The sequence below is a fragment of the Homo sapiens genome, chromosome 8 (assembly GCF_000001405.40).
Source record: "Homo sapiens chromosome 8, GRCh38.p14 Primary Assembly".
Taxonomy (NCBI): domain Eukaryota; kingdom Metazoa; phylum Chordata; class Mammalia; order Primates; family Hominidae; genus Homo; species Homo sapiens.
Window position 1 is genome coordinate 124,077,938 of NC_000008.11, and position 27,404 is coordinate 124,105,341.

At 40.8% G+C, this 27,404-nt stretch overlaps 1 protein-coding gene and 1 long non-coding RNA gene across 10 annotated transcripts in view; one reads left to right on the top strand and one right to left on the bottom strand.

The window, feature by feature from the left end:
* The window catches only part of FER1L6 (fer-1 like family member 6), a 268,075-nt gene that overhangs the window by 225,951 nt on the left and 14,720 nt on the right, over positions 1–27,404 (top strand). For 8 of the 9 annotated variants that reach the window (NM_001039112.2, XM_011517231.3, XM_006716618.4 and 5 more), the window contains 7 exons: positions 4,351–4,521; positions 13,486–13,646; positions 16,959–17,101; positions 19,334–19,422; positions 19,848–19,946; positions 23,160–23,401; positions 25,209–25,372. In NM_001039112.2, coding sequence (NP_001034201.2) covers positions 4,351–4,521; positions 13,486–13,646; positions 16,959–17,101; positions 19,334–19,422; positions 19,848–19,946; positions 23,160–23,401; positions 25,209–25,372 — 1,069 coding nt within the window. Of the gene's footprint in view, positions 1–577; positions 779–4,350; positions 4,522–13,485; positions 13,647–16,958; positions 17,102–19,333; positions 19,423–19,847; positions 19,947–23,159; positions 23,402–25,208; positions 25,373–27,404 lie in introns of those variants that run through there. The other variant, XM_011517235.4, reaches the window with a different exon arrangement.
* FER1L6-AS2 (FER1L6 antisense RNA 2) overlaps positions 1–27,404 on the bottom strand; it is a 125,452-nt gene that overhangs the window by 31,867 nt on the left and 66,181 nt on the right. The window lies entirely within an intron of this gene.

The following is a 27,404-nucleotide window of genomic DNA, read 5'->3' on the forward strand; positions in this document are numbered from 1 at the left end:
TCGGTGTGAGGGTGTCACAGCCTCCAACCCCTGGTGCCCTGGTATCTTGCGTTGCTTTACCTTTCTTCGTAGCCTCTGACATGGATTAGATGTTTATGGGTTTATTGGCCATCTCCCATCTCCCCACTAGAATGTAAGAAGTATTTGAGCAGGGACTTAGTCTAGTCTGGTTAATGCCACATCCCTAGCACCTAGGACAGGGCCTGGCACAGAGCAGGTGCTCAATATGCATTTGTGGAATGAACAGATGGATGGATGGATGGATGGGTGGGTGGGTGGCCAGATGAACAAAATGCCAGTCAGTTGTCAGTGGGATTTAATGGGGCCCTATCTCCACGTCATCTTGATATGATGCATGTCTGTAGGCTTTGACAGTTTCTTCCTCATGGCTCTTATAGTTTCCCAGAATGTTTGCCATTGTCTCCACCACCTTGATAATTAACCATAAAGCAAAATGATGAGATCCTAATGGGTTAATAAACCAGCTCGACCTCCCCTTACTCATTCACATCTGCAGGACTTTGTCCTTGCTATGCCCTCACCATGACATGCCTTTTCTTTTCTTGTCCACCTGCAGAACTTCATTTATTCCTCACAATTACTGGGAATCCACCATGTGTCAGGCACACTGCTAAGTGCTGGGACACAGTGAGGATCAAGCCACAGTCTGTACCTTCAAGGTGCCCATGAATATTGAGAGAGCATCAAATAAATGCGTGATTACAATAGGCTGCTGCAAGTCCTGTGAAGACCCTGGGAAGGCATCCCAGGTGGGATGGGATGGGTGGGAAGGGATGGGTGTTCTTTGCCCTGCAAAGTCCAGAGTGTAGGGAGGACGTGATGTGGCAGGAACTATGGGTATCAATCCGGGTTCCACCACAGGAAGGGACCTAGCAGAGGAGAGACAGAGAATTTCCCAGGGCTTCCTTAACAAAGTACCATAAACTGGGTGGCCGAAACAACAGAAATTCATTCTCACAGTTTGGGATACTGAAAGTATGATGTTCTGGGATGCTTCCTTCTGTGGGCTGCAAGGGAGCCTCTATTCCCTGCCTCCCTGCCTCCCTCCCAGCTTCTGGTGATCTGCTGGCAATCCCTGGTGCTCCCTGGCTGGTAGATGCATTGCTACAATATCAGCCTTCATCTCCACATGGCCTGCTCCCTGCATCTCTCCACATCATCTTCCCTCTGTGCACATCTGTCTCTGTGCCAAGTTTTCCTCTTTACAAAGACACCAGTCATATTGCATTACAGCCCATCCTAATGACCTCATTATATCTTGATTTACCTCTATTAAGACCTCACTTCCAAATATGGTCAGATTTTGAGGTGCTGGATCTGGAGCTTCAACTTATCTTTTGGTGGAGACACAATTCAACCCATAGCAATATATACTGCTTTTGCTCTTTATTATGAGATTATTGTTTTTGCTCTTAAGCTTTTTCTACTGGTTAAAGCCTACTTAGATTATCAAGGAGAATCTTCTTCAATTAAAGTCAACTAATTGTGGATGTTAATTACATCTAAAAAAATGCCACCATAGCAACACCTGGATTAGCGTTTGATTGAATAACTGGAGACTATAGTCAAGTAGACACATGAAACTGACCGTCACCCTGTGAGTAGATTGCAAATGTTTTTTTCTTTCCAATCAGGTCGTCATTTTGGTGGCACACTATGTGCCAGCTACTGGAGAGGTATACAGGGTGCATGACCCTGTTTCCATGGAACCTACACCCTTATGGAGGAGGCAGGGAATACAAAAAAAGAAAAATCAGGCAGATATAAAATTGCCTGTATGATGAATGCTATAAGGGAGAGGTACAGGGGCCTTTGAGTCTGTGTAATCGGAGAGCTTGACCTGGTTGGGAAAATGGCTAAGATTAGAAGTTCTGCAGATCTGGAGCAGGGAGAATTCCCATCTGCATTCAAGGCTCAGCCAAAGAGTCATCCCTGTGAAACCTTCTGTTGTCACCCCTCCCCAGACAGGTGTACTAGTAACACCCTCCCCATAACTCTGTTGGAGCTCCTGCCACCTGATTTAGCCATATTCTTATTTGCCTTCCCCACTGGAAAGAAATTGTTTTACTTATCTCTTAAAAATCGCAGTGCCTGGCACATAGTAGACACATAATAAATGCTGAATGAACGAATGAATAAATTAAAGAATGAATGAATGACCAAATGAACAATGGAACATTGTTCCTCTGAAGCTCAGAGGCTCTTCATGCTTTCACCGTCTCAGTTTTGGCCCATTTCATGATGCATTCTGTTTTCCCAAACCACCCTTGCATCTAGGGATAGTACCTCATTGACACAAGTTGGTATAAGGCTAATTTTTCCCTGGGTAACTGGAAGTTCAACCATAGTGGGCTGTTTTTGGTAACTTTTTTTTTCAAGATGGAGTTTTGCTCTTGTCGCCCAGGCTGGAGTGCAGTGGCGCGATCTTGGCTCACTGCAACCTCCACCTGCTGGGTTCAAGCTGTTCTCCTGCCTCAGCCTCCCAAGTAGCTGGGACTACAGACGCCTGCCACCACGCCGGGCTAATTTTTGTATTTTTAGTAGAGACAGGGTTTCACCATGTTGGCCAGGCTTGTCTCGAACTCCTGGCCTCGAGTGATCCACCTGCCTCGGCCTCCCAAAGTGCTGGGATTATAGTCGTGAGCCACCGCTCCCGGCCCTGTTTTTGGTAACTTTTATTGACAGCTCCATTTAAAATTTAGGTGACATTAATATACGGACCCACAGCTTGGGGAGATGGGCCAGGGTGATTAAGTCTTCTGTCATGGTTGCCAGCAGCAGTTAAGCCCTTAATAAGTCCTTTCAGTGACAGTAATGGTGATGGCTCAGGGGCACATGGCTGGAGGCTTCCTTGTGATGCACCTGCAGAGTATCAATTACAGTTTAGAATGTAAATCTTGGAGCTCAGGCAGGAAATACTATGCCTTCAGATGGAAGACATATGGATTTCTTTCCCACACAACCATATCCCTGGCCTGCTACAGCCACTTCTGTCAGTTACAGTCACTGGAGCTGTCCAGCGTCTCTGCTTTTCTCTCTCTGAGGAGGGTTAATTGGCTTGGGCATGCTGCAGTTGCTGTGCCTGCTTCACTGGGGAGTAAGTGTCAGGGTTAAGTGGATCTGACCATGAGGGCAGCAGCCCAGACAGCCCTGTGGACATGCAGGGAAATAATGGGCTCGCATTCTCCTTCCTCCCCCTCCTCTTTGTCTATCGCTCCCAGCCCAGTTCATCCTGTACCAGAGCAGACAGTCTACACAGCTGGAGAATACTGCTGTGTCCTTGATTTTGTTTTCAGGAAGGCATTTCCCTATAACGCAGTTAATTTTCAAGTACCAGTCCCAATGCAGTAGCATTGGGTAATTTATCATCACAGAAAATCAGACAGCATTAATGTTCCTTGAGACACCTTGCGTTGGTGTGGTTTCATGGAAGGAGCACCGAGCTAGGAATTAGGAACCTGGCACTTATCTCAGATTGGCCTGATTGATGATCTTGGGCAAGTTGCTAGTGTTCTCTAGATTTCAATTTATCTATAAAATGAAGGGATTGGATATGGTGATTTCTGAGATCTCTTACAGTTCACGGAAACATTTATTTTGTGTGTACTTTCTGCAGGTCAAGTGCAGGCTCCAGCAATGCAGAGACCAAAAAAAAAAAAAAAAAAAAGGGCAGGTCCCTATTCTCAAGGGGCTCATAGTCTTGTAGAGACAACGCTTTGGTCTTGCAATTCTATGTTTTTATAATTTTTCATCCTTGATAAGGTTTTCATTTAAAATAAATGTAGCTGGTACTTGTTGATAAAGCAACAATGGAGGGGAAGGGGAATGGCAATGTATTGGGCACCAGTTGAACGCCTGAAAGTAAAATACGTGTTTTATAGAAACAATATTGCATTTAAACCCCATGCTAAATTATAAAGAAGACATATATACTCATTTATAATATGGAGGCTAAGAGGAATTAAATAACTTTCCCAAAGTTTTACAATCAGGAAATTGCAGATTCAAAACCAAAATTAAAAATCAGTCCTGTCTGAAACCAAAATCCAAAGTTTTTCCTCTCCATCGTGCTGTCACCCTAGTTGAAGACTACAAGATGTGGCCCATGAAAAGGGGAGATTATTGGCTATTTGAAATTGATAACAGAGTTGAAAATTGTTTGTACTGCAATGAAAAATTAAACCAAACAAATATCTGCTAAGTATTAACTGAGTTGCTGAGTGTTTAATGAGTTCACATGAATAGCGGGCTAGCTAAAAGTGAAGCTGGGAATGGTTCCCTGTGTCACCAAATGTTAACTGACTCTTGAAGTCTCTGCTTGGACCGCAGGTCATTTGAGATCCAAGCCACATTCCCAAAAGAGTCCCTGCTCTCCATCCTGATCTATGACCATGACATGATTGGCACAGATGACCTTATTGGTGAGACCAAGATCGACCTGGAGAACCGCTTCTACAGCAAACACCGAGCCATCTGTGGCTTGCAGAGCCAGTATGAGATGTAAGTTCTTTCTCCCCGGGAGACACTTGGTATTCTGAAGCTGTTGTAGCCTTTAGGGCTCCAGACTCTGCATCCCAGTTGTCCATCTCTAGGAAGGCCAGACCAGGCTCAGCTTTAACGTCTCAAATGGGCTCCACATCAGCAGAGCTGGCTTGGGGAAACTCTGTTCAGTGCATTTGAGAGTCATCGTGACTGGGGAGGCAGCTCTGATTGAGAACCAAGGGCAGGTTCTTCAAGAGTCAAGAGCTAAATGTATGTGTTCACTCAGTCAGATGTGCCTTGAAATAGAGTTTCCCTGGTGAAGAATAATGCTAGAAGAATAATTAATATAATACAAATGCCAGCGTCCAAGCTAATTATAACACTCATGTACTTTCGATAACAAAGCACTTTACATGGAGTATCTCATTGAGTTTTGTGAACCACCCTTTGAGGCGTTATCCGCATTTTACAAATGAAGGAAGAACTGACCCAACTTTCACTCTTTTTTCAAATGTATCTTTAATTTTCATGGGTACATAAATGTGTATGTGTGTGTGTATATATTATATACACACACATATGGGGTATATGACATGTATACATATATATGGGGTATATGACATATTTTGATACAGGAATATAATGCATAACAATCACATCAGGGTAAATGGGATATCTATCACCTCAAATATTTATCCTTTCTTTATATTATAAACATCAAATTATACTCTCTTAGTTATTTTAAAATAGACAATAAATTATTGATTATAGTTGCCCTGTTGTGCTATCAGATACTGTATCTTATTCTATCTAACTATATTTTTGTACTCATTAACCATCATCCACTCTCTATCTCCATGAGTTCAAGTGTTTAAGTGAGAACATGCAAAGTTTGTCTTTCTGTGCCTGGTTTATTTTTCTTAACCTAATGTCTTTAATTCATGTTGATTTTATTTTTGCATATGATGAGACACAGGGATCTACTTTCATTCTTCTGCATATGGATATCCAGTTTTCCCAGCACCATTTATTGAAGAGACTGTCCTTTCTCTGATATATCTTTTTGGCATCTTTGTTGAAAATGAGTTCACTGTGGATGAATAGATTTATTTCTGGGTTCTCTATTCTGTTCCAAACATAGATTTCAAGAAAAGAACTATAAAAAGACAAGAAAAAAAAAAGATTTATGTGTCTGTTGTTGTGCCAATACCATGCTCTTCTGGTTACTATAGCTCTGTAGCATAATTTGAAGTCAGGTAATGTGATTCCTCCAGTTCTGTTCTTTTCACTTAGAATATAGCTTTGGCTATTCTGTGTCTTTTGTGGTCCCACGTAAATGTAAGATTGTTTTTTCTATTTCTATGAAGAATGTCATTGGTATTTTGATAGAGATTTCACTGAATCTGTAGGTTGCTTTGGGTACTATGGACATTTTAACAGTACTGATTCTTCCAATCCATGAACATGGAATATGTCTGTGGTTTTTTGTATCCTCTTCAATTTCTTGCACCAATGTTTTATAGTTTTCATTGTAGAGATCTTTTCTCTCTTGAAGTTTATTCCTAGGTATTTTATTTGTAGCTATTGTAAATGGGATTGCTTTCTTTATTTCTTTTTCACATTGTTCACTGTTGGCATACAGAAATGCTACTGATTTTTGTACCTTGATTTTGTATCCTGCAACTTTACTGAATTTATCAGTTCTAACGGTTTTCTTGTGGAATCTTTAGTTTTTTTTTTTTTAAATATAAGATCATATTATCTACCCACAAGGGTAACTTCTTTCTTTCCAATTTGGATGCCCTTTATTTCTTTGTCTTATCTGATTGCTCTAGCTAGGATTTCCAGTTCTATGTTGAATAACAGTGGTGAAAGTGGGCATCCTTGTTTTGTTTCAGATCTTAGAGGAAAGGCTTTCCGTTTTCCCCATTCAGTATGATCCTAGCTGTGGGTCTGTTGTGTATGTTTTTTATTGTGTTGAGCTATGTCCCTTCTATACTCAAGTTTTTTGAGGGTTTCTTAAATTATGAAGGAATATTGAATTTCATCAAATGCTTTTTAAGTGTCAATTGAAATGATCATATGGTTTGTGTCCTTCATTCTGTTGATAATGATGTATCACACTGATTGATTGTGTATGTCAAATGATCATTACATCCCTGGAATAAATTCCACCTGATCATGATGAATGATCATTTTAACATGATGTTGAATTTGGTTTGCTAGTATTTTGTTGAAAATTTTTCTTGAACACTTTTGCATCAGTGTTCATCAGGGATATTTGCCTATAGTTTTCATTTTGTGATGTGTCTTTGGTTTTGCTTTCAGGGTAATACTGGCCTTGTAAAATGACTTTGGAAGTATATCCTTTTTCTTTGTTTTTCAGATTGGTATTAGTTCTTCTTTAAATGTTTGGTAAAAATCAGCAGTGAAGCTTTGGATCCTGGGCTTTTCTTTGCTAGGAGACTTTTTATTACAGCTTCAATTTCATTACTTGTTATTGATCTATTCAGGTTTTGAACTTCTCCATGGTTCAATCTTGGTAGGTTGTATGTTTCTAGGAATTCACTCATTTCTTCTAGGTTTTCCAATTTATTTGCTAATTTCCAAATTTTCCAATTTATTTCTAACATATCATTAGTAGCCTCTAATAATCATTTGAATTTCTGCAGTATTGGTTGTAATGTCTTCTTTATTGTCTGTAATTTTATTTATTTAGGAGGTCTCCCATTTTTCTTAGCCTAGCTAAAGAGTTGCCAATTTTGTTTATCTTTTTGAAAAACCAACTTTTCATTTTGTTAATCTTATCTCTTTTTCTACTAATTTTGGGTTTGGTTCACTCTTGATTTTCTAATTCATTAAGATATATTGTTACATTATTTATTTGAAGTTTTTCTACTTTTTTGATGTGGGTGCTTATTGCTATAAACTTTCTTCTTAGTACTACTTTCATTGTGTCCCATAAGTGTTGTTGGTATGTTTCCATTTTCATTTGTTTCAAGAAATTTCTAAATTTCTTTCTTAATTTCTTCATTGTCCCACTGGCCATTCAGGAGCATATTGTTTAATTTCCATGTGTTTGTATAGTTTCCAAAATTCTCTTGTTATCGATTTTGAGTTTTATTCCATTGTGGCCAGAGAAGATACTTAATATAATTTCAATTTAAAAAAAATTTTAAAGACTTGTTTTGTGGCCTAACGTGTGGTCTGTCTTTGAGAATGTTCCATGTGCTAAGGAGAAGAATGTGTATTCTGCAGCTGTTGGATGAAATGTTCTGTAAACATCTATCAGGTCCATTTGGTCTATAGGGTCGATTATGTCCAGTGTTTCTTGGTTGGTGTCCTGTCTGGATGACCTGCCCAGTGCTGAAAATTGGGTGTTGAAATCTCCAGCTATTATTGTATTGGGGTGTATCTCTCTCTTTAGCTCTTTGCTTTATATCTGGGTGCTCCACGGTTGGGTGTGTGTGTATGCAACTGTTATATCCTGTTGCTGAATTGACCCCTTTATCATTATATAATGACCTTCTTTGCCTCCTTTTATAGTTCTTGTCTTGAAATCTATGTTGTTTTATAATCAGTATACCTACTCCTTTTTTATATTCCATTTGCATGTTAGATCTTTTTTAATCCTTTATTTTTAGTCTATGTGTATCTTTATAGGTAAAGTATGTTTTTTTGTAGGCAACGGAGTATTGGGTCTTGTGTTTTTATCCATTCAGCCACTGTGTCTTTTGATTGGAGAGGTTAGTCCGTTTATATTCAATGTTATTGTTAAGTAAGGAATTCTTCCATTTTAAAATTTGTTTTTTGATTGTTTTTGCTGTCTACTCTTCCTTCTTGTCTTCCTTTTAGTGAAGGTGATTTTCTCTGGTGGTATGTTTTAATTTCTTGCTTTTTTATTTTTTGTGTATCTGTTGTATGTGTTTTTATTTGAAGTTACCATGAGGCTTGAAAATAATATAGCCCATGATTTTAAGCTGATAACACTAACTGCATAAACAAACAAAAAAAAAAAGCAAAAATAAAACTGATGAAAACTCTATATTTTCACTTCATCTCCCTGCTTTTTAACTTTCTGTTGTTTCTACTTATATCTTATTATACTATGTCTTTAAAAGTTGTTGTAGTTATTTTTGGTTGGTTCATATGTTCATCTTTCCACTTAAGATATGAATAACTAATATACCACACTTAGTGTTATAACATTGTGTTTTTCTGTGTACTTACTGTTACCAGTGAGCTTCCCACCTTCATATAATTTCTTATTGATCATTAACATCCTTTTTCTCTCAGATTAAAAAACTTCTTTTAGCATTTCTTATAGGACAGGTCTGGTGTTGATGAAATCCCTCAGAGTTTGTCTGGGAAAGTCTTTATTTCTCCTTCATATTTAAAGAATACTTTTCCTAGATATGCTATTCTAAGCTAAAAGTTTTTTTTCCTTCAGTACTTTAAATGTGTCATGCTACTCTCTCCTGGCCTATAAGGTTTCCACTGAGAAGTCTGCTGCCAGACATATTGGAACTCCTTTGTATGTTATTTCTTTTCTCTCGCTGCTTTTGGGATCCCTAAGTTATCCTTGACCTTTGGGAGTTTGATTATTAAATGTCTTGAGGTAGTCTTATTTGGATTAAATCTGCTTGGTGTTCTATAACCTTCTTGTACTTGAATATTGATATCTTTCTCTTGGTTTCTTATTATCTCTTTGAATAAACTTTCTACTCTGATCTCTCTCTCTCTCTCTACCTCCTCTTTAAGGCCAGTAACTCTTAGATTTGCCTCTTGGAGGCTGTTTTCTAGATCTTGTAGGCATGCTTCATTCTTTTCAATTCTTTGTTTGTTTCCTCTGACTGTGTATTTTCAAATAGTCTATCTTCAAGCTCACTAATTCTTCTGCTTGATTAATTCTGCTGTTAAGAGACTGGTGCATTCTTCAGTATGTCTGTTGCATTTTTCAGTTCTAGAATTTGATTCCTTTTAATCATTTTACTCTCTTTGTTAAATTTATCGGATAGGATTCTGAATTCCTTCTTTGTGTTATCTTGAATTTTGTTGAGCTTCCTTAATGCAACTATTTTGAATTCTCTGTATGAAAGGAAACATCTCTCTGTCTCTCCTGGATTGGTCACTGGTGCCTTATTTAGTTCTTTTGGTGAGATAATGTTTTCCCGGATGGCCCTGATGCTTGTGGATGTTCATCAGTGTCTGGGCATTGAAGAGTTAGGTATTTATTGTAGTCTTTGCAGTCTGCGCTTGTTTGTACCCATCCTTTTTGGGAAGGCTTTCCAAATATTTGAAGGGACTTGGGTATTATAATCTAAATATTTGGTCACTGCAGCCATATCTGCATTAGGGGACACTAAGCACAGTAATACTGTGGCTCCTGCAGACTTGTAGAGATATTGCCTGGGTGGTCTTGGGTAAGATCCAGGAGAATTCCCTGGATTACAGGCAGAGACTCTTTTTCTCCTTTCTTTTCCCCAAACAAATGGGGTTTATCTTTCTGTGCTCAGCTTCCTGGAGCTGGGGGAGGGGTGACACACACAGCCATGTGGCCACAAACACAGCACTAGGTCTTGCCCAAGGCCTGCAGTGACCGCTGCCTGGCTACCACCTGTGTTCACTCAAAGCCCAGGGGCTCTTCAGTCAATGGGTGGCAAATCCAGCCAGACTTCTGTCCTTCCCCCCAGGCCTCTAGCTCCAGATGGGTCTGGAGATGCCATCTGGGAGCCAAGGGCTGGAGTTAGGAACCTTAGGAATCTACCTGCTGCTCTATTCTACTGTGGCTGAACTGGCACCCAAACCACAAGATAAAGTCCTTCCCCTTTCCTCAAGCAGAGGGGTCTCTCCCCATGGCCACCACTGCCCCAGTCCCATGGTGAGTACTGCCTGGCTACTGCCAGTGTTCACTGTGGCAAATGCTGCCTGGCTTGTGTCTCTCCTTTCAGGGCAGTGGGCTGCCCTCTGGCTTAGGGCAGGTCCAAAAATGCCATCTGGGGCCAAGGTCTAGAATCAGGGTCCCCAGGAACCCACTTGGTTCTCTACTCCACGATGGCTGGGCTGGTGCCCAAGCTGCAAGACAAAGTCCCCTTTGCTCTTCCCTGTCCTTTCGTCAAGCAGAAGCAATCTCTTCCTATCACTACCATAGCTGAAAATGTGCTGGGTCACACCTGAAGCCAGCACTGCTCTGAGTTTAACCCAAGGCCCATGGCAAGTACTACCTGGCTCTCACTGCTGATTATTCAAAACCCAAGGGCTCTTTAGTCAGTAGGAAATAAATCCTGCTATGTCTGGGTTCTTCCCCTCAAGGCATCACGTTCCCTTCTGGCCCAGGTTATGTCTAGAAATGTCTGGGAGCTGGGGCTTGGAATGGAGGCCTCAAGACTCTGCCTTGTGCTGTATTTACTGTAGCTGAGCTGGTATTCAAGGTGCAAGACAAAATCCTCTTTGCTCTTCCTCTCCTCAAGCAGAAGGAAGGAGTCTGTCCTGGGCCTCTGAACTGTGCTGCCTGGGATTAGGGGAGAGGTGGTGCGAGCACTCCCATGGCTGCCCCAGCTGGTATTTCACTATGTCATGTGCACCCCAAGTCCACTGGCTCCGAGCTCAGCATAGCAGTAGGATTTGCACAGGAATTTCAGTCCCTGTGGCCAAGACTGTCTTTCATGTTTATTTAGGACCCCAGAGTGCTTTAGCCTGCGGTGGCGGAGCTTGCTGAAACTCAACTCAGGTTCCAACAGCTGGGATGGACAATTTGCCTGTAGCTAGGGCTGGTCTAAATGCTCCTTGCATGGGCACCAGCTGAGTTCTGAGTTGTGTCTGGTGTTTCTTTCTGCTGTGACAGGGTAGCACTGAGTTCCAATCCGAAGTCCCACAATTATTGTGTTCTTCCTTCCCTAAGTGCACAGATCCTCTCTCCATGCTACAGGGCCACTGCCAGGGAATGGGGGAGGAGTGGCATAGGCAATTCAAGACTGTCTTTCTTACCCTCTTTAGTGCCTCTTTACTTAATATCATGTTAAAACCAGGTACTGTGATTGCTCACCTGATCTTGTGTGTATAATTTCAATTTGGTGTTCCTCTGTCTCCCTCCCCCAAACTCCCACTTTTTACAAATATTTTGAATGCTGCTTAATTTTAAAATATAGACTACCAGCTTTATTTTTTTAAAGCATGCTGTATCTGATAGCTTTAAGAGTATGGCATAATTTTAAAAATATTTTTATTAAATATGACACACTCATTGAAATTAGAAAACACAAAGTACAAAATAACTCTCAAATTATTCCACTCATGTAAAAGTTCTTGTGTAGTATTTCATTTTCAATATGTTCCATGCTATTTTCTCCCTAACCAGACTCTACTATCCACGCAGTTTTGTAACCTGCTTGTTGTACTTATCCTTATATCTCAAGCATTTTATGTCATTAGATATTCTTTATAATCATTATTTCAATATATCTGTAGAATTCAATCATAGGCATTATAAGATGGTAAAACCAATTTGCCTTCCTGAATTTTAGGGCATTTGTATTTTTCTTTATTCTGTTATAAATATTGTTGCTATGAATATTCTCATACAAAAGCCACTGCACACCTCTCTGATAATTGACTTAACATTTATGCATCAAGGTAGACTGCTCCATTAACAGGAATGCACATTTTGGGACTTTTAATACATATGTCACAATGGCCCTCCAGAGGGTTGTGCCAATTTACACCGTAACAGACTCTGAGCGCCTATATCCTTCATGGAATGATTTCATACAGTCTCTCTTTCTGGTCTATTCTTCCCTAAGCCTAGAGAGCCTGTTTAGTTTTCAGTCCCTAGTGGAACCATATGCCTCTTGGGGGATTTACATAGCTTTCCAAGTGCCTGAGAGAATTCCATTCAGACAGTGATTAGCTGTTCTCACTCTGAAATTGGGGAAGGAAGCCACAGGCAAATGGTGCATCTTTTGTTCAGAAGAATTTCCTGGCTGACCTGCCAGGTAGCAGTATAGTTGTCTGGGGACTTGCAATCTTTATTCACTGAAAAGTTTTTAAAACAAGACAAGCATGCCTATTTCTGGGAAGGCCTGTGTGTGGCTCTGGAACTGGCTTGGATGACCTTTTCAGGATTCTTTGGCATAATGTGGGAAAACTACTTGATAGCTCCATTTTATAAGCCATGTTGATTTGTTTAAATTCTGATGAACTCAGTGTCCCAATGAGCAGAGACATCAAGCTTATCTTGGTCCTGGCTTGTAGGGAGTGCTGCATTGCAAGTTAATAATTTTAACCAAACAGCTAGTTTTTAAGGAAAGAATAGGTTGGGGAGATTTAAAAACTTATCACTGATTAGAGAAACAACACATCAAGACTCTATCTGTGACATGGATATATACTATGATTTTGGTGGGGTGGTGGGGTAGGGAGAAGGGAGGGACGAAGCAGAGACCTTGAAACTTGGAATAAGCAGCAGCCGAGTGGCTGTTCTCCTAGGGACTTAATAAAACTAAACAAATATAACCTGCAAAGAAATGCATAGAGACAGAAAGGAGATTGGTGATTGCCAAAGCCTCTGAGGGGTGGGAAAGAGGAGTAACTGCTTTCTGGGTACAGGGTTTTCTTTTGGGATGATGAAACTTTTTGGAACTAGATAAAGGTGATGGTTATACCTCATTGTGAATATCCTAAATGCTACTAAATTGGTCAACTTTTAAATGGTCAATTTTGTTATGTGAATTTCACTTCAATTTAAAAAAAATGAAAAGTACATTACTTAAACAAAAACAAAACTACCTTCAAAGGATTTTTCTGTTAAGCTACTCAGAAGTCTTGCCTTTCAGGCAAGCTGTGTTTGGCCAGAAAAGAGAGAAAACAAACCCCCTAACCCCAGATACACAGAATAGCAAGTTAAATCTGAAAGAAACTGCACAGATCATACTGGGTGGTTCTTTAAGTGAGGACCTCAAAGTGTGTTCTCCCTCCACTTTTCAGAGAAGGATACAATGCCTGGAGAGACACGTCCAAACCCACCGAAATCCTCACTAAGCTCTGCAAAGACAACAAGCTGGATGGACCCTACTTTCACCCTGGGAAAATACAGATAGGAAACCAAGTCTTTTCTGGAAAAACTATCTTCACTGAAGAGGACACTGGTAACTCCCTGCAAAATATCCTGCTGGTGTTGCTCTTCTTTTGAAAATCCTGATTCTAGTGATATTTTTGGCTATGGGACATCTAATTATAAAAGTAATGTGGCCAGGCACAGTGGCTCACGTCTGTAATCCCAGCACTATGGGAGGCTGAGGCGGGCGGATCACTTGAGGTCAGGAGTTCAAGAGCAGCCTGGCCAACATGGTGAAACCCCATCTCTACTAAAAATACAAAAAGTAGCCATGCGTGGTGGCAGATGCCTGTAATCCCAGCTACTGGGGAGGCTGAGGCACGAGAATCACTTGAGCTCAAGAGGTGGAGGTTGCAGTGACCAGAGATTGTGCCACTGCACTCCAGCCTGAACAACAGAGTGGGACTCAAGTCTTAAAAAAAAAAAAAAAAAAAAAGTAATGCATGCTTATAGTAGAAAATGTGGAAAAGTAAGGAGAATAATGAATATCACTTATAATCCCCAAGTTCAGATACAACCATGCTGCTTGCTGGCATATTTTCTTGCACTTGTCTGTGACTTGAAAATATATCACATTTTTACAGAATTATAAATAAACACAGAGTTTTGTGCCCAGCTTTTAAAATTTCCAATAGATTATAATGATTCTCCTTTGTTCTTTGAAATGATCAGTGATGATATGCCTTTTTACGGTTATGCCATTTACTCACATTGTATTCTTTTTTTTGTAGTGACAATGCTATAATGAACTTCCTTATACATATTTTTGTGTGTTTCTGATATTTCTATAGTACAGGTCACAGAAGTAGAATTGTTGCATCAGAAGGTGGGCAATATTCTTGAAGTGAATATTATATAGCATAAATAATTGAACATAACCCAAATTACCCCCATAAATGTTATACCAATAACTATCCTATTTTAACACCAAGTCGTAGATTTTCCACATGAACATCCTGGGACATAACACAAAGATCCCAGAGAGGCTTCCATACATTTAGGGTGAGGGGAAAAAAAATCACATTTAATTTAATTATACAGAAGAATTCTCATACTGTCACACTGTGTTGGTCTGTTCTTGCATTGCTGTGAAGAAATGCCTGAGACTGTGTAATTTATAAAGAAAAGGTGTTTAATTGGCTCACAGTTCTGCAGGCTCTATAGGAAGCATGGTAGCATCCGCTTGGCTTCTGGGGAGGCCTCAGGAAACTTGCAGTCATGGTGGAAGGCAAACAGGGAGCCAGCATGGCACTCACATGGCCAGAGCAGGACGAAGAGAGAAAGCGGGGAAGTGCTACCCTTTTTTTTTTTTTTTTTTTTTGAGATGGAGTCTCATTCTGTCACCCAGGCTGGAGTGCAGTGGCATGATCTAGGCTCACTGCAACCTCCACCTCCCGGGTAGCTGGGATTACAGGCATGCGCCACCATACCTGACTAATTTTTGTATTTTTAGTAGAGTCGGGGTTTCACCATGTTGGCCAGGCTGGTCTTGAACTCCTGACCTCAGGTGATCTGCCCGCCTTGGCCTTCCAAAGTGCTGGGATTACAGGTGTGAGCCACCACGCCTGGCAGTGCTACACATTTTTAAACAATCAGATCTTGTGAGAAGTCTATCACGAGAACAGCACTAGGGGGATTGTGCTAAACCATCTGTGAGAAACTGCCCCCATGATCCAGTCACCTTCCCACCAGTCCCTACCTCCAACACTGGGGATTACAGTTCGACATGAGATTTAGGCAGGGACACAGACCCAAACCATATCACTTGCTCATGCCTTTGATGCTTTAAAGTGTCCTATGTATGGTTCAGTACTTTTGATGCAATGAGCCAAGGGCATGAGGTCACTGCATCAAAAGTACTGAACCATACATAGGATGGTTTGACACTATGTTGACCCCTACCACTTTGATACCAAGATTTCCTTTACCTTGTTATTTCAAGCCCAGAAACCCATTGAAGGTTCTTACATGCAGATTATTGATATTTAGATAGGACATTAATGATATATTGAGAAAAATATTTATTCACAATATACTCTATTAAGCCAACTTAGTTCTTTGGTCAATATTCTACATGATTAAACAATTACCACTTTTTTGCCCACTAGAAGTCTGAAATCATGTTCATAAGATTAACAAAGATTTATTCATTGATTTCTTGTTTGTCTCTATCAACTTTTACTGATTGTAATTATTGCTATTGGGAGATTTTTTTGTGGCCCCTTTATTTTTATTACTTTAATTATTTTTATTATTTTAATTTTTGTGGGTACATAATAGGTATTTATATTTATGGGATAAATAAAACATTTTTATACAGGCATGCAATGTATAATCACGATCACACCCTGTAAAATGGGGCACTGTGGCCCCTTTTTTTTAAAGACAAGTTCAATTTTCCTATATCAAATTAGGCCATTCTAAACTTTGTCAATGTTTTATTCAACAATTTTTGTCTTGTTTTGCGCGTATCATTTCCACCTGTAGTTTTTATCATGAATAACCTTATTTGATAGAATGGCAGATGAGAGCACATTTCCTGTGGGTGGGTGTTGGTAGGAGAGAAATCTAAAGCAACCGTGAGAAGACAAAAGACGTCCCTATGGATGGACATTGTGCCCATCTCACCACCTCACTTAGGGCCACCCTGATTTTCCAGGTCCTCTCACAGTATGTTAGCAAACAGTTTTGCACCTTCAAAAATGTACCCTCTCCAGTACCTTGAAGCCATGTTTATGATCTGTAGATCTTTAGGAGGTGGGTGGAGCCCCTACTCCAGGACCAAGACTGCTCTCTGGGTCCTCTTGTGAACTAGTCTTATTTCCCTCTCTCTAAACTTTCCATCTCTTTCCCCTTCCCTTCTATCTCTCCACCTCTTTCCATCCTTACTTTTTTCTTTTTCGGTTTTTCTTTCCCTGTTCCTTAGGAAATTTATTTATTTATTTATTTTGAGACAGAGTCCCTGCTCTGTCACCCAGGCTGGAGTGCAGTGGCGCGATCTCAGCTCACTGCAACCTCTGCCTCCCAGGTTCAAGCGATTCTCCTGCCTCAGCCTCCTGAGTAGCTGGGATTACAGGCACCCGCCACCACACCTGGCTAATTTTTTGTATTTTTAGTAGAGAAAGGGTTTCACCATTTTGGCCAGGCTCATCTTGAACTCCTGACCTCAAGTGATCTACCCACCTTGGCCTCCCAAAGTGCTGGGATTACAGGTGTGAACCACTGCACCCAGCCCCTTGGTACATTTAAATAAGCCTGTAAGTGTTTAAAAATGCATGTGGCAGCCCATCACTGTCTCCTTGCAGGAACACACATCTGACAAGTTTGTCTTTCTTTCCTGCAGATGAGACAGTGGAGTCTTATGAACACCTGGCCCTCAAGGTTTTACACTCTTGGGAGGATATCCCGGAAGTCGGGTGTAGGCTGGTTCCTGAACACATAGAAACTCGGCCACTGTACCACAAGGATAAGCCAGGAATGGAGCAGGTAGTGGGCAAGACTATTCTGGCCCTAAAAGTTAATCTTGTGTACTGTAGAGTAATGGTTTTCATCCAGGAACAATTTTGACCTTCCCTCAGGTACATTTAGCAATGTCTGGAATCATTTTGTGTTGTCACAAGTAGGTGGGGTTGCTACTGGCATATAGTGGGTAGAGGCCAAGGATGCTGCTAAATTAAACATCCTAGAAAACACAAGACAGCTTCCCTCCAACAGGGAATTATCCAGCCTAAAATGTCAATAATGCTGAATTTGAGAAGCCCTGCCCTGGAGTCAGTGTTCAACTTAGTACTGCTTTTTATGATTTGAGTTACCAAAGTCTTTTGGAAGAATATTGGACATTTGAAAAACTTAACCCATTGGGTATGCCCAGGACTTTGTCCAAAATCTATCTGTAACCACACAGCCTAGTAATAACACACACAAACACACAATTTTCCCAGAGAAGCAATAGGTGGTAGGTTACCTTAAAGAACTGGCAAGAAGAAGCTGTGTGGAAAAAATACCTAGAGAGCTGGGCTAGGAGTCAGAAGGGAAGACAAGATAAACTTTGTGAAGAGCCTTCCGTGTACTAGGACCTTTACGTAAATTATCTCAACTATTTAGGATGACCATAGAATTGTTTATCCAAACTGGGGCCATTTGGGAGTGAACGCGGGCACTGTTAATAATCAAGCTGGTACAAGGAACACACACCATGATTTTCCTAAACAACGGAGTGACACCTTCCTCTTATTCCTTAATGCAGCCTCATGATGGGCTTATTATGATCCTCACTTTTACAATGAGGAAATTGAAGTTCAGAGAGCTCAATTAATTTGCTCTGAATTACTCAGCTGGGGAGTAATAGAGATGAGTAGTAGTAGAGATGGAATTTAGCCCAGGCAATTTGCATCCCTGGCCCATGCCAGGTTCACACCCCGAGCCAGCTTCTGTCCCAGCTCTGGACTCACTCACTGTGTGAGGGGAAAATCATGTGAGTTTGATTATAATGGGTCAGAAACACTTACCCTGCTATCCCAGAGTTATTGGGATATAGACCTAGTGATTGCACGTGTGGACGACCGCGTTGAGAGGGTAAACCATTATCAGATGTAGAAGCTTATGATTGTTTCCTGAAATTCACTGCCAGGTGTTTGAAATCATCTGGTTACTAGGATCCTTCACTTGGCTGGTCAGATGTGGCTTTTTGATTAAGGATGAATATTAATGTGTCTTTAGAAAATAAATCATCCTGCTTTTCTCTATTCAATTGATTTTCTTCCCAAATGCTAAACCTTTGCTTACATTTTCTCTTCCTCTGAAGAGCCATTATTTTCTAGCCAAAGGCCCTTCCTCATCCAAATCCTGCATCTTCTTCATGCTCTAGTGGAGTCCCACCTCATTCTTATAAAATCCACCCCTGCCCCATCATCCCAACCCATATCCCTTACTCCTTTCTTGCCTAAGCTGACAGCATTCTTAGAATGTATACAACAGAGCTTAGCATGGAATCCACAGGGCTTCTCCTCACATGGGCTCTTAAATCTCTTGTACCACGGTAAAATCTGATGTATGGAGTTCAAGGCAATGAATGGGAGGCTCTGTTCTGCCACTGTTAGCCACAGAACTTCAGATACACTTTGTTGACTTATCTGAGCTTAGTTTCTTTATGTATAGAACAGAATCCTGGCTGGGGTGAACATTAACAGAGATAATGAAGGTAAAGGTACATTGAAGCATACTTGTGACAGTTGGGATTATCTTTTTAATCCTTAGGAGTTTGCAGAAAGAGCAAGGTCTCTGGGGTCAACACAAGGGTTGAATCCGGACTCTGCTACATATTGTCTATTAAGCATGGGCAAAATGTTTTTTCCTCTGTCAAACAGAAATAGTAACATCTACCTGGTGGAGATGTTGCAAGAGTTCATAAGATAATGTGTGTCAAGTGTATAGATAGCATTATGTCTACCCCCTAGTTGATGCTCAATAAAGGTTTGCTCACCCTTCACCTACTCTTAATTTATGCTCTAATTCCTAAAGATATATATATATATATATATATACATACATACATACTTTTTTTGTCAACAGATACGCTAAATATACATCTATAAAACTACCAAGCTACACTTAACACCTATTTCTACTAAAGGGATCTTATAAAACCATGAATTATCAATTACCCATGTCCCCTAGCCCCCTCCCAAAGCTAAAGAAGATATTTTTTTTCTTAACAAGGGCCGCCTGCAGATGTGGGTGGACATGTTTCCCAAGGATATGCCTCAACCTGGACCTCCTGTTGACATCTCTCCAAGGCGACCCAAAGGGTATGTCAGCTGTAGCCCCAGCTTCAGGGGAAGAGACCAGGGTAGCAGATGAAAGAATCATGACATTTTATCTGGTGTCTGACAGGTTACCTGATCATCATACCTCACTATCCACCCGGCCAGTTTTTCAGGAGCTGGTGGTGGCCCCTGTCTTAAGGGAGGGGCTTCTGAGTTTCCACTTCCTCATCTGAAAAATGCTGGTTAAGAGAAGGAAGACCTGCTCATAGGAATTCATGTCCTTGATGGTTCTAAGGTCTCCAGCTAGGATACTTGGTTCTGACAGAACCAAGCCCCTAAGTGTTGATATTTCTGAACTTGGCAAACTTTAGGAAACTTATAGACCAAAGGCAATGCTAGAACCACACAGACACCAACTGACTCAGCTTTCAAGGTCATCGACCTAATGCTTCCTTCTCCCATCCCAGATACGAATTGAGAGTGACCATCTGGAACACTGAAGATGTCATTTTAGAGGATGAGAATATCTTCACAGGCCAAAAATCAAGTGATATTTATGTGAAAGGGTAAGGTTATCAACAAACTCCAACCTCCCATTTCCTTCCCTCCTCACCTTTTTAAACCCTAACTAAATCTATGCCTCATGGAGGATACTAAACCCACAGCCCACAAAGTGAGCCATCTTACTTTTAAGGCCACCTTCTTTGTCTAATATTTGTCTTATTTGGTCATTTTGCTAAAAATTATTAGCTTATAAAAATATTTTTATGAGGAAATCTTATTACATATACATCTTTCAGTTAAACGTTGGATACCTAAACTTATTCAGTGACATTTGTCAGATATCTACCTTTAAACAAAAGGAAGCAGAGTGATGTGGTGCTGTTAATGAAAGATTAATATGTTGAACAGATTGTGAAGCTAATGGGAAAGCTAAAATTTAGACCTTCCTGTTTGCTGGTGGTATTGATTAAAAACAGATACAACCTAAGACCCAGGGAAGCATTTTATATCTCTTTTACATCTTGGCTCTGCTTCCTTTTGGCCACTAGTCAGGGAGGGGGATGAGGTGGTATAGCATCAGAAAACAGGTGATTTAAATCTGTACCTTAACTAAAACCTCTCTCAGCCTTATGCTAATATCTCTTTGCCTTCCCCTAACAGGAAGTATTCTGTCTCCAGAATGTACGTTATCAATGATTTGCAGTCATACCACATCTGGTGGTTCAAAATTCTCATTTTTTTCACAATAAAAATATAGAAGTGAGTTAAAGTTTTACAAAGGAGTAATAGAAGGAGCATGACACAAAATGAATAAGATTTTAACAAACAGACTTAAGAGCCTCTGAAATTGCTATCTCATCACCAGTTTAGGAAAGATTAATGTATCCTGTAAATAGGTATTTTACCATGGCTTGAAATATGGAAGGATTCTGGGAGAGTTCGGGTTGAGACTTCCAGAAGCTGACCTTCTGGAAAATGTGATGAAGGCGATGTTTGTTCACTCTCTGTCTCCTTCCCTCCCACTCGCTTCTCAGTCAACTCCAGTCTGGCTTTCTCCCCAATATGCCACCAAAGCGACAGTGCTCTCCATTTTGCTAAATCTAATGGTCTTATGTTTTAAAAAATTAGTCCTTATTGCATTTGTCTGAGGAGCATTTGTCACATCTAAGCATCTCTTCTTTTTGAAACACCTTCTTGCCTTAACTTCTGTAGCAACACATGTATCTGTTTTTTCTCTTATCCTCTTGATCACTTCTTGTCCGTGTCCTTTGAAAGCTCATTTTCTGCCGTCTAGCAGTTAAATAGCTCATAGCATTGTCCTGGGCCAACTTCTCATCTCCCACTATTTTGTCTCTCTGCCATTTTCAACTAACACTTCAGTTGAATCAAGTAGTTCAAATAACCAATGGCTTCAGTTGTCACCTTTTAATTTTCATTCTTGACAACTCCTGTTCCCGATGTGTAGATTCCTCAAAAGCAGCACCTCAAACTGAACAAGTCTAAAACCAAAACAATCCTACAACACTGTTTCTTCTCTACGGTTTCTTATCTCAGTGACTGGCACCATCATCCATTGGGTTGAGAACCCCAAATCTACAGACCCTTTGCTCACTGACTTCCCCATTTCTAATGTGCTGTCAGAGCTTGTCCATTTCACCTCCCAAGTGGCCATCAGCACTGTTCATCCTCTCCATCTTCGCCACATCCCACCATTGTCTTTTCCTCCATCATCTCTTGCTAGGTGGACCACAGCAATACCAATGCCATCCAAATTGGCCTCCCCATATTCATTCTTGCCCTCCAATAGTTTGCTCTCTATGTTTAAACATGAGCTTTTCAAAACACAATCTGATCATGTCAGTCCTGTACTTAAAACCCTTCAATGACATCTCATTTTCTCTGAACAGATTCAAGTCCTTAATACATCCTAAAATATCCCAAATAACTAGCCCCTGCCTCTCTCTCTCTCCAGCCTCATTTCATACCACATGCCCCCTTGCTCTCTGCAAGAAGAACTAAGAAGAAAGACCTTCTAAGGCTGCATCCTTATTTCTTCTTCCACGGGGCCTTTGCACATCTCTCTCTAGTGACTTCTGCCACTCACTCATATCCCTCTCTCCCCTTTCCCCTATGACTATGACTCCATGAAGCAAGGACCATCTCTGCTCCCTAACACTCCCCTGGCGTCAAGCTCTCTCATTGCCTCAGAACAGACATCACAAATGTATTGGTTGAGTGAACACCATCTTTAGCTAAATAATTGGGCCCATACCCTGAGTGGTGACACTCCTCTGTGAAGAGAAAGGCCTTCACTCCCCTCCTCCCTGCCCTGGGAAGGAAGGATGTCTGCTTTCAGAAAGCACACGGTTTGAAATTATCAACTAGTTTGAATAAAAAGTACTTATTTTCTCAATTAATTCACCATGGACCAAGTAGTAGGGATAAATGTACTAATTGTAACTTACGTTATGCTGGGGATGGAGGAGGAAGACCAGATAATACTAAGACGAAAGAACATGATAGGTAATTTGGAATGTCCAAGGTACATTTAGGCATCATCTCATGTGATTTTTCAGAACAACCTTATAAACTAGGTGCTATAATTGCTTCCAGTGTACAGATGAAACAAAGGCACAGGGAGGTTAGATAACTTACCTATGTCTGCATAGTAAGTGATACAGTCAGAGTTGGAATCCAGATGGGTGCAGGCAGCCCTCCCACCCTCCATGCCACACCAATCCAGGCCTGCTGGGCTTTCTAGGCCTAGAACCAGGGAGGAGGGGACCAATTATAGTCTGATGGCATAGGTCTGACAACCCAAGCCTATACCAGCCCAGTGCATGCCTGACAGCACAGGTCTACAGCAGCCCAATTTCAGAGTCCTCAGTGTAGTGGGTAATCTTGTTCTAACACTCAAGTATAGAGGTGGCATCCCTTACAAAGAGGGTTCCCAGGGTGACAGAGATTCAGATTACATTTTCACTTCCTATTTCCTGAATTTTCTATCTTGATTGCATGGGGCTTCAGATCTACACAAGCAATTGAAGACCCTTCCCCAACCCTGCCTTGAAATGAGCCATTTTTCTATTATGGCAGACCCTCTGACCCCTATTTTATTCTTTCAAGTTAAAATGGAAACTTCCAACTGAATCTAATTATAATGATTTTTAAACTATGCTCTGTGACCACATTGAAATAAGCTAAATCACTTATGATTATACTGATGCCTGGAGAATGTACTCTGAGTGTTTAAATTATTTTGAATCTATTTTTAGGTGGTTAAAGGGCTTGGAGGATGACAAGCAGGAGACAGATGTGCATTACAACTCCCTGACTGGAGAGGGCAACTTCAACTGGCGCTTCCTGTTTCCCTTTCAGTATCTCCCAGCTGAGAAGCAAATGGTCATTACCAAGAGGGAGAACATCTTCTCTTTAGAGAAGATGGAGTGTAAGACTCCTGCTGTGTTGGTGCTGCAGGTTTGGGATTTTGAAAGGCTGTCCTCAGATGACTTCCTGGGTAAGCCAGTGGCTTCATCAAGCACATATTAATGTTAAGGGTTTTGTCTCAGCTTTTGGAGAGCTTGGTCTGATTTAGTTACAAGACTAATAATTTCAGCACTATCTATGATAGCAAAAACCTGGAAACATCCCAAATAGCCATTAATAGGGAATGGTTAAATGAGTGATGGTACATCCACATGATGGACCACTACATATTCTAAAAGACTTAAGTTGATCTATCACTAAAAAGTCATTAAACTTTGAGCTAATTACTGGTCTGCTCTGTGTCTCAGTTGTAAAATGAGGGTAGTAATATTACATACTTCAGAGAGGGGCGGAGCTGTAATTGTTGTAACACAATTAAAGAGCACTCCGTAGTGCCTCACACATAGTAAGCATTTGTAAGCCAAAATGTATCTGAGACAAGTCTCAATTTAGAAGTTTATTTTGCCAAGAATAAGGACATGCCTGTGATATAACCTCAGGAGGTCTTGATGACATGTGTCCAAAGTGGTCAGGCCTCAACTTGGTTTTATACATTTTAGGGAGATATAAGACATCAATCAATACATGTAAGATGTATGTTAGCGACAACTGGAAGTGGGGGCTTCCAGTTCGTAGGCAGATTCAAAGATTTTCCAATTGGAAATTGGTTATTGTCTAAAAACCTGGAATCAATAGAAAGGAATGTCTAGGTTATGATAAGGGGTTGTGAAGACCAAGGTTTTTTCATGCATATGAAGCCTCAACGTAACAGACTTTAGAGAAGATAGATTATCAGACTTGAAGAGTCTGTTCTATGAGTCTTAAGGTCTTTGTTGATGTTAACAGTAATGAGGCATATCTGACTCCCCCTTCCCATCAATGGCCTGAACTAGCTTTTCACGTTAATTTTAGAATGCCTTTGGTGGAGAGGAGGAGTCTATTCAGATGGTTGGGGGGCTTAAAATTTTATTTTTGGCTTACACACTCAAGTGATAGTCCTGCAAACATTAAAAATATGGGAATATCTAATGAATTGGAAAGTTGTACAGGATACATTAAGTGAAAAGAGAAAAATCTCATTTCTGTAAACTACGTTTATATGTATAGGAGAAAGGGATAGTCATAGAGAGAGGGCTAAGCACCAATACACAGAGCAGTGGTCAACATTTTAGGGATGAAATTATGAAAAATTTTTCCATTCTCATGTTTTTGCCCATGTATATATGCTCTGAATTTTCCATATTTAACAAATGTTAATTTATAATAGGAAAAAATGGTTAAAGAGATATAGAACTCATGGCAATCTCTTACTCTGCCTTGTGTTCCCTCGTTGGAAAAACAGTGTTGGGAACCCACTAAGGTTCACTTCCTGTCCTGGAGAGTAGATACAAAGACAATAAGACTAGTGTCCGACCTGGAGGGGTTTAGTGGACACCAAGAGAGAGGTGAAGTGGGGTGAGGAGGCTCTCATGGGGTTGTCAGTGCTAAAGCAGGGGAAGGCTGAAGCCAATAATCCAGGCTTAGGGAGCAGAGGAGGTGGTCAGCAGTGAAGCTACCTGCAGCTGAGGCTTGCAAGTTAAGTATTGTTAACTTAAGAGTTAAAACAAGCTCTTCCTTTGTCTTCTACCTGCTACCATGTGATTAATCTTTTGATGGCACCAAACGTGGCTCAGTCCTATTTGTACTCCCAATACCTAGCACATAGTTGTGATCCAATATGGTACTGATTGAATGAGTAGGAAGTGAAGGGTGAATGAATGAATGAGGATGGTGATTGAGAAGCTCTTCTGTTACTTTTAGAAAATGCTTCCCTAACTGTTAGGGTCATCTCTCCACAGGCACCCTGGAAATGAACCTCAACAGTTTCCCTCGAGCAGCTAAGTCTGCCAAAGCCTGTGATCTTGCCAAGTTTGAAAATGCAAGTGAGGAGACCAAGATCTCTATATTCCAGCAAAAACGTGTGCGTGGCTGGTGGCCTTTTTCTAAAAGCAAAGAACTCACAGTAAGTGACAGCTATGGGAGGTGGAGGAGATGGGGGAAGTTGGGGGCATCATGCTTTTCCACTGAGTCATTTTGTGAACTTCAAGTAAAATGCCTTGAAATGACATGAACCCTTCATGCAGAGGTTCTGCTAAGAAGCAAGAATTTTTAAAGCTTTATAAATGCAAGAAGACTTAGCTATCTATGTTGAGGTGATTTTCTATCCTTTTGGCCTGAACTTATGCGCCTGGCATTAATTTTTTTTCAACATTTCTTAAGATTATGCATAAAGTCCTGAGTAATGTACAATTTCAATGCAATTACCTTATGCCTTCATCCTCAAATGTAAGACATGATTTAAAAAGTGATCCATCCTTTTAAAAGAAGGTGACAGCAGGAGAAGCCATTTATCCCTTTTCCCGAATTGTCCACTTCCTGCCAATGCATGTCAGATTGTGTGGTATGTGCTTGGAGGAATTTTTGACCTTTCACAAATATTGGGAAGACAGTTTCTTCTTCCTGTTCTTTCACCTCCTTCACTGATCCTCTGTAAGCCAGCAGGGATGACTTAGCGAGGTTGGAAAAAGGTACTGAGACTGATAGCAGGGTCTTTTTTCTGCTGCTAGCCTCCCCTTGGGATGAGTGCATTCTGCCCTCTGCTTCTAGTGCCTTGTGGCAAAAGCACACCTAGGACAGGATTTTTCCGGTAGCAGGTCTGGATAGAGACCCATTTCTCTTTCTGTCTCTGCTCTGAGGATCCAGTGGGTGTGAGGCAGGGATTCCCCTAGTACCTCACTGGGTAAATGGGAGCTGCTGGTCTGACCTCATGGTGTCTAGTTCTATTGTATTTTCTGAGAGTTTGTCTCTTCTATCCATTCTTAATTGGATCCCCTTGATTGGTGAGGTTGCTGGAGAGGCTCCAGCCAGTTCCATTCCCCCTCAAGTAGTTAATGAGGGTTTACTACATGCCAGCCTCTGGGCTTGGTTATGGGCAATCAATATTTGTTGGATGCAAGAATGAAACCAGAAATGAATGAGTCATGGCCTCTGCTCTCAGCCAGCTCAGAGTCCAGTGAGAGGGACAAACAGTTCAACATCCAATCATGCGTGGAATAACCAAGGTGTGAAATGCAGGGAAGGAATGGAGAGGTGGGAGGGATGCAATTGTCCTGATGGAGTTGAGGGTTCAAACAGGACAAAGGACAATGAAAAGGCATTTTATAGATGAAAAAGAGAAGATATCTATTCCAAGTGAAAGAACCATGATGAGTACAGTATGGAGGCATAAAGTGGCTCCTGGTAGAAGGCTAACAACCCTCTGATCAAAATTCCTGAGCACAGTACGAGGTTGACAAATGGGGACTGCCAGGCCCAGAAGTCCAAACTCTTATCCTTTGACATCATTCTAATTTCTGTATATTAATAAGCAGTAAATTTAGATGCATGATCATATAATAGCAGCTATTATATTTTATATCCCTTTAGATTTTGAGAGATATATACAGACTCCTGTTATTTAATCCTAATTACTCTTCATTTTCCATGTCATTTACTTATTTCTTCATTTCATCCAACAAATATTTACTGAGCTTCTATTAAATGATAGGCCCTGGGAATAAGACATGAGTAATACAGACAAGGTCTCTGTTATCATAGAGCTTACAGTCTAAAGTCAAGTTCAGACATGCAGACATATACATGCAAAACCACAGCTAGCTACTCACACATACTCCAAGAAAGCAATGACTCAGAACAAAGGCTGGGCAGAAGACAAAGCACTGAATCAAAGCTTACCCAATGCAGGGATTTCTACTCACTATGGTGGCAGGGAAAGGCCTTTCTGTGCCTGTGAAACTAAGTTGAAACTTGATGAATGAAATGTAGTGAGCCACAGGAGGAAGAGCATTTCCCACAGAGCAAATTCCACAGGCGAATGGCCTGAGGTAGGAATGAGTTTAGTGCTTTGGATAAACTAAAACCCCAATGAACAAAAACCTCCCATAACTGGCGTGTGATGCATGAGGGCAGTGCTGGTGAAGTGGGGAGGACACCAG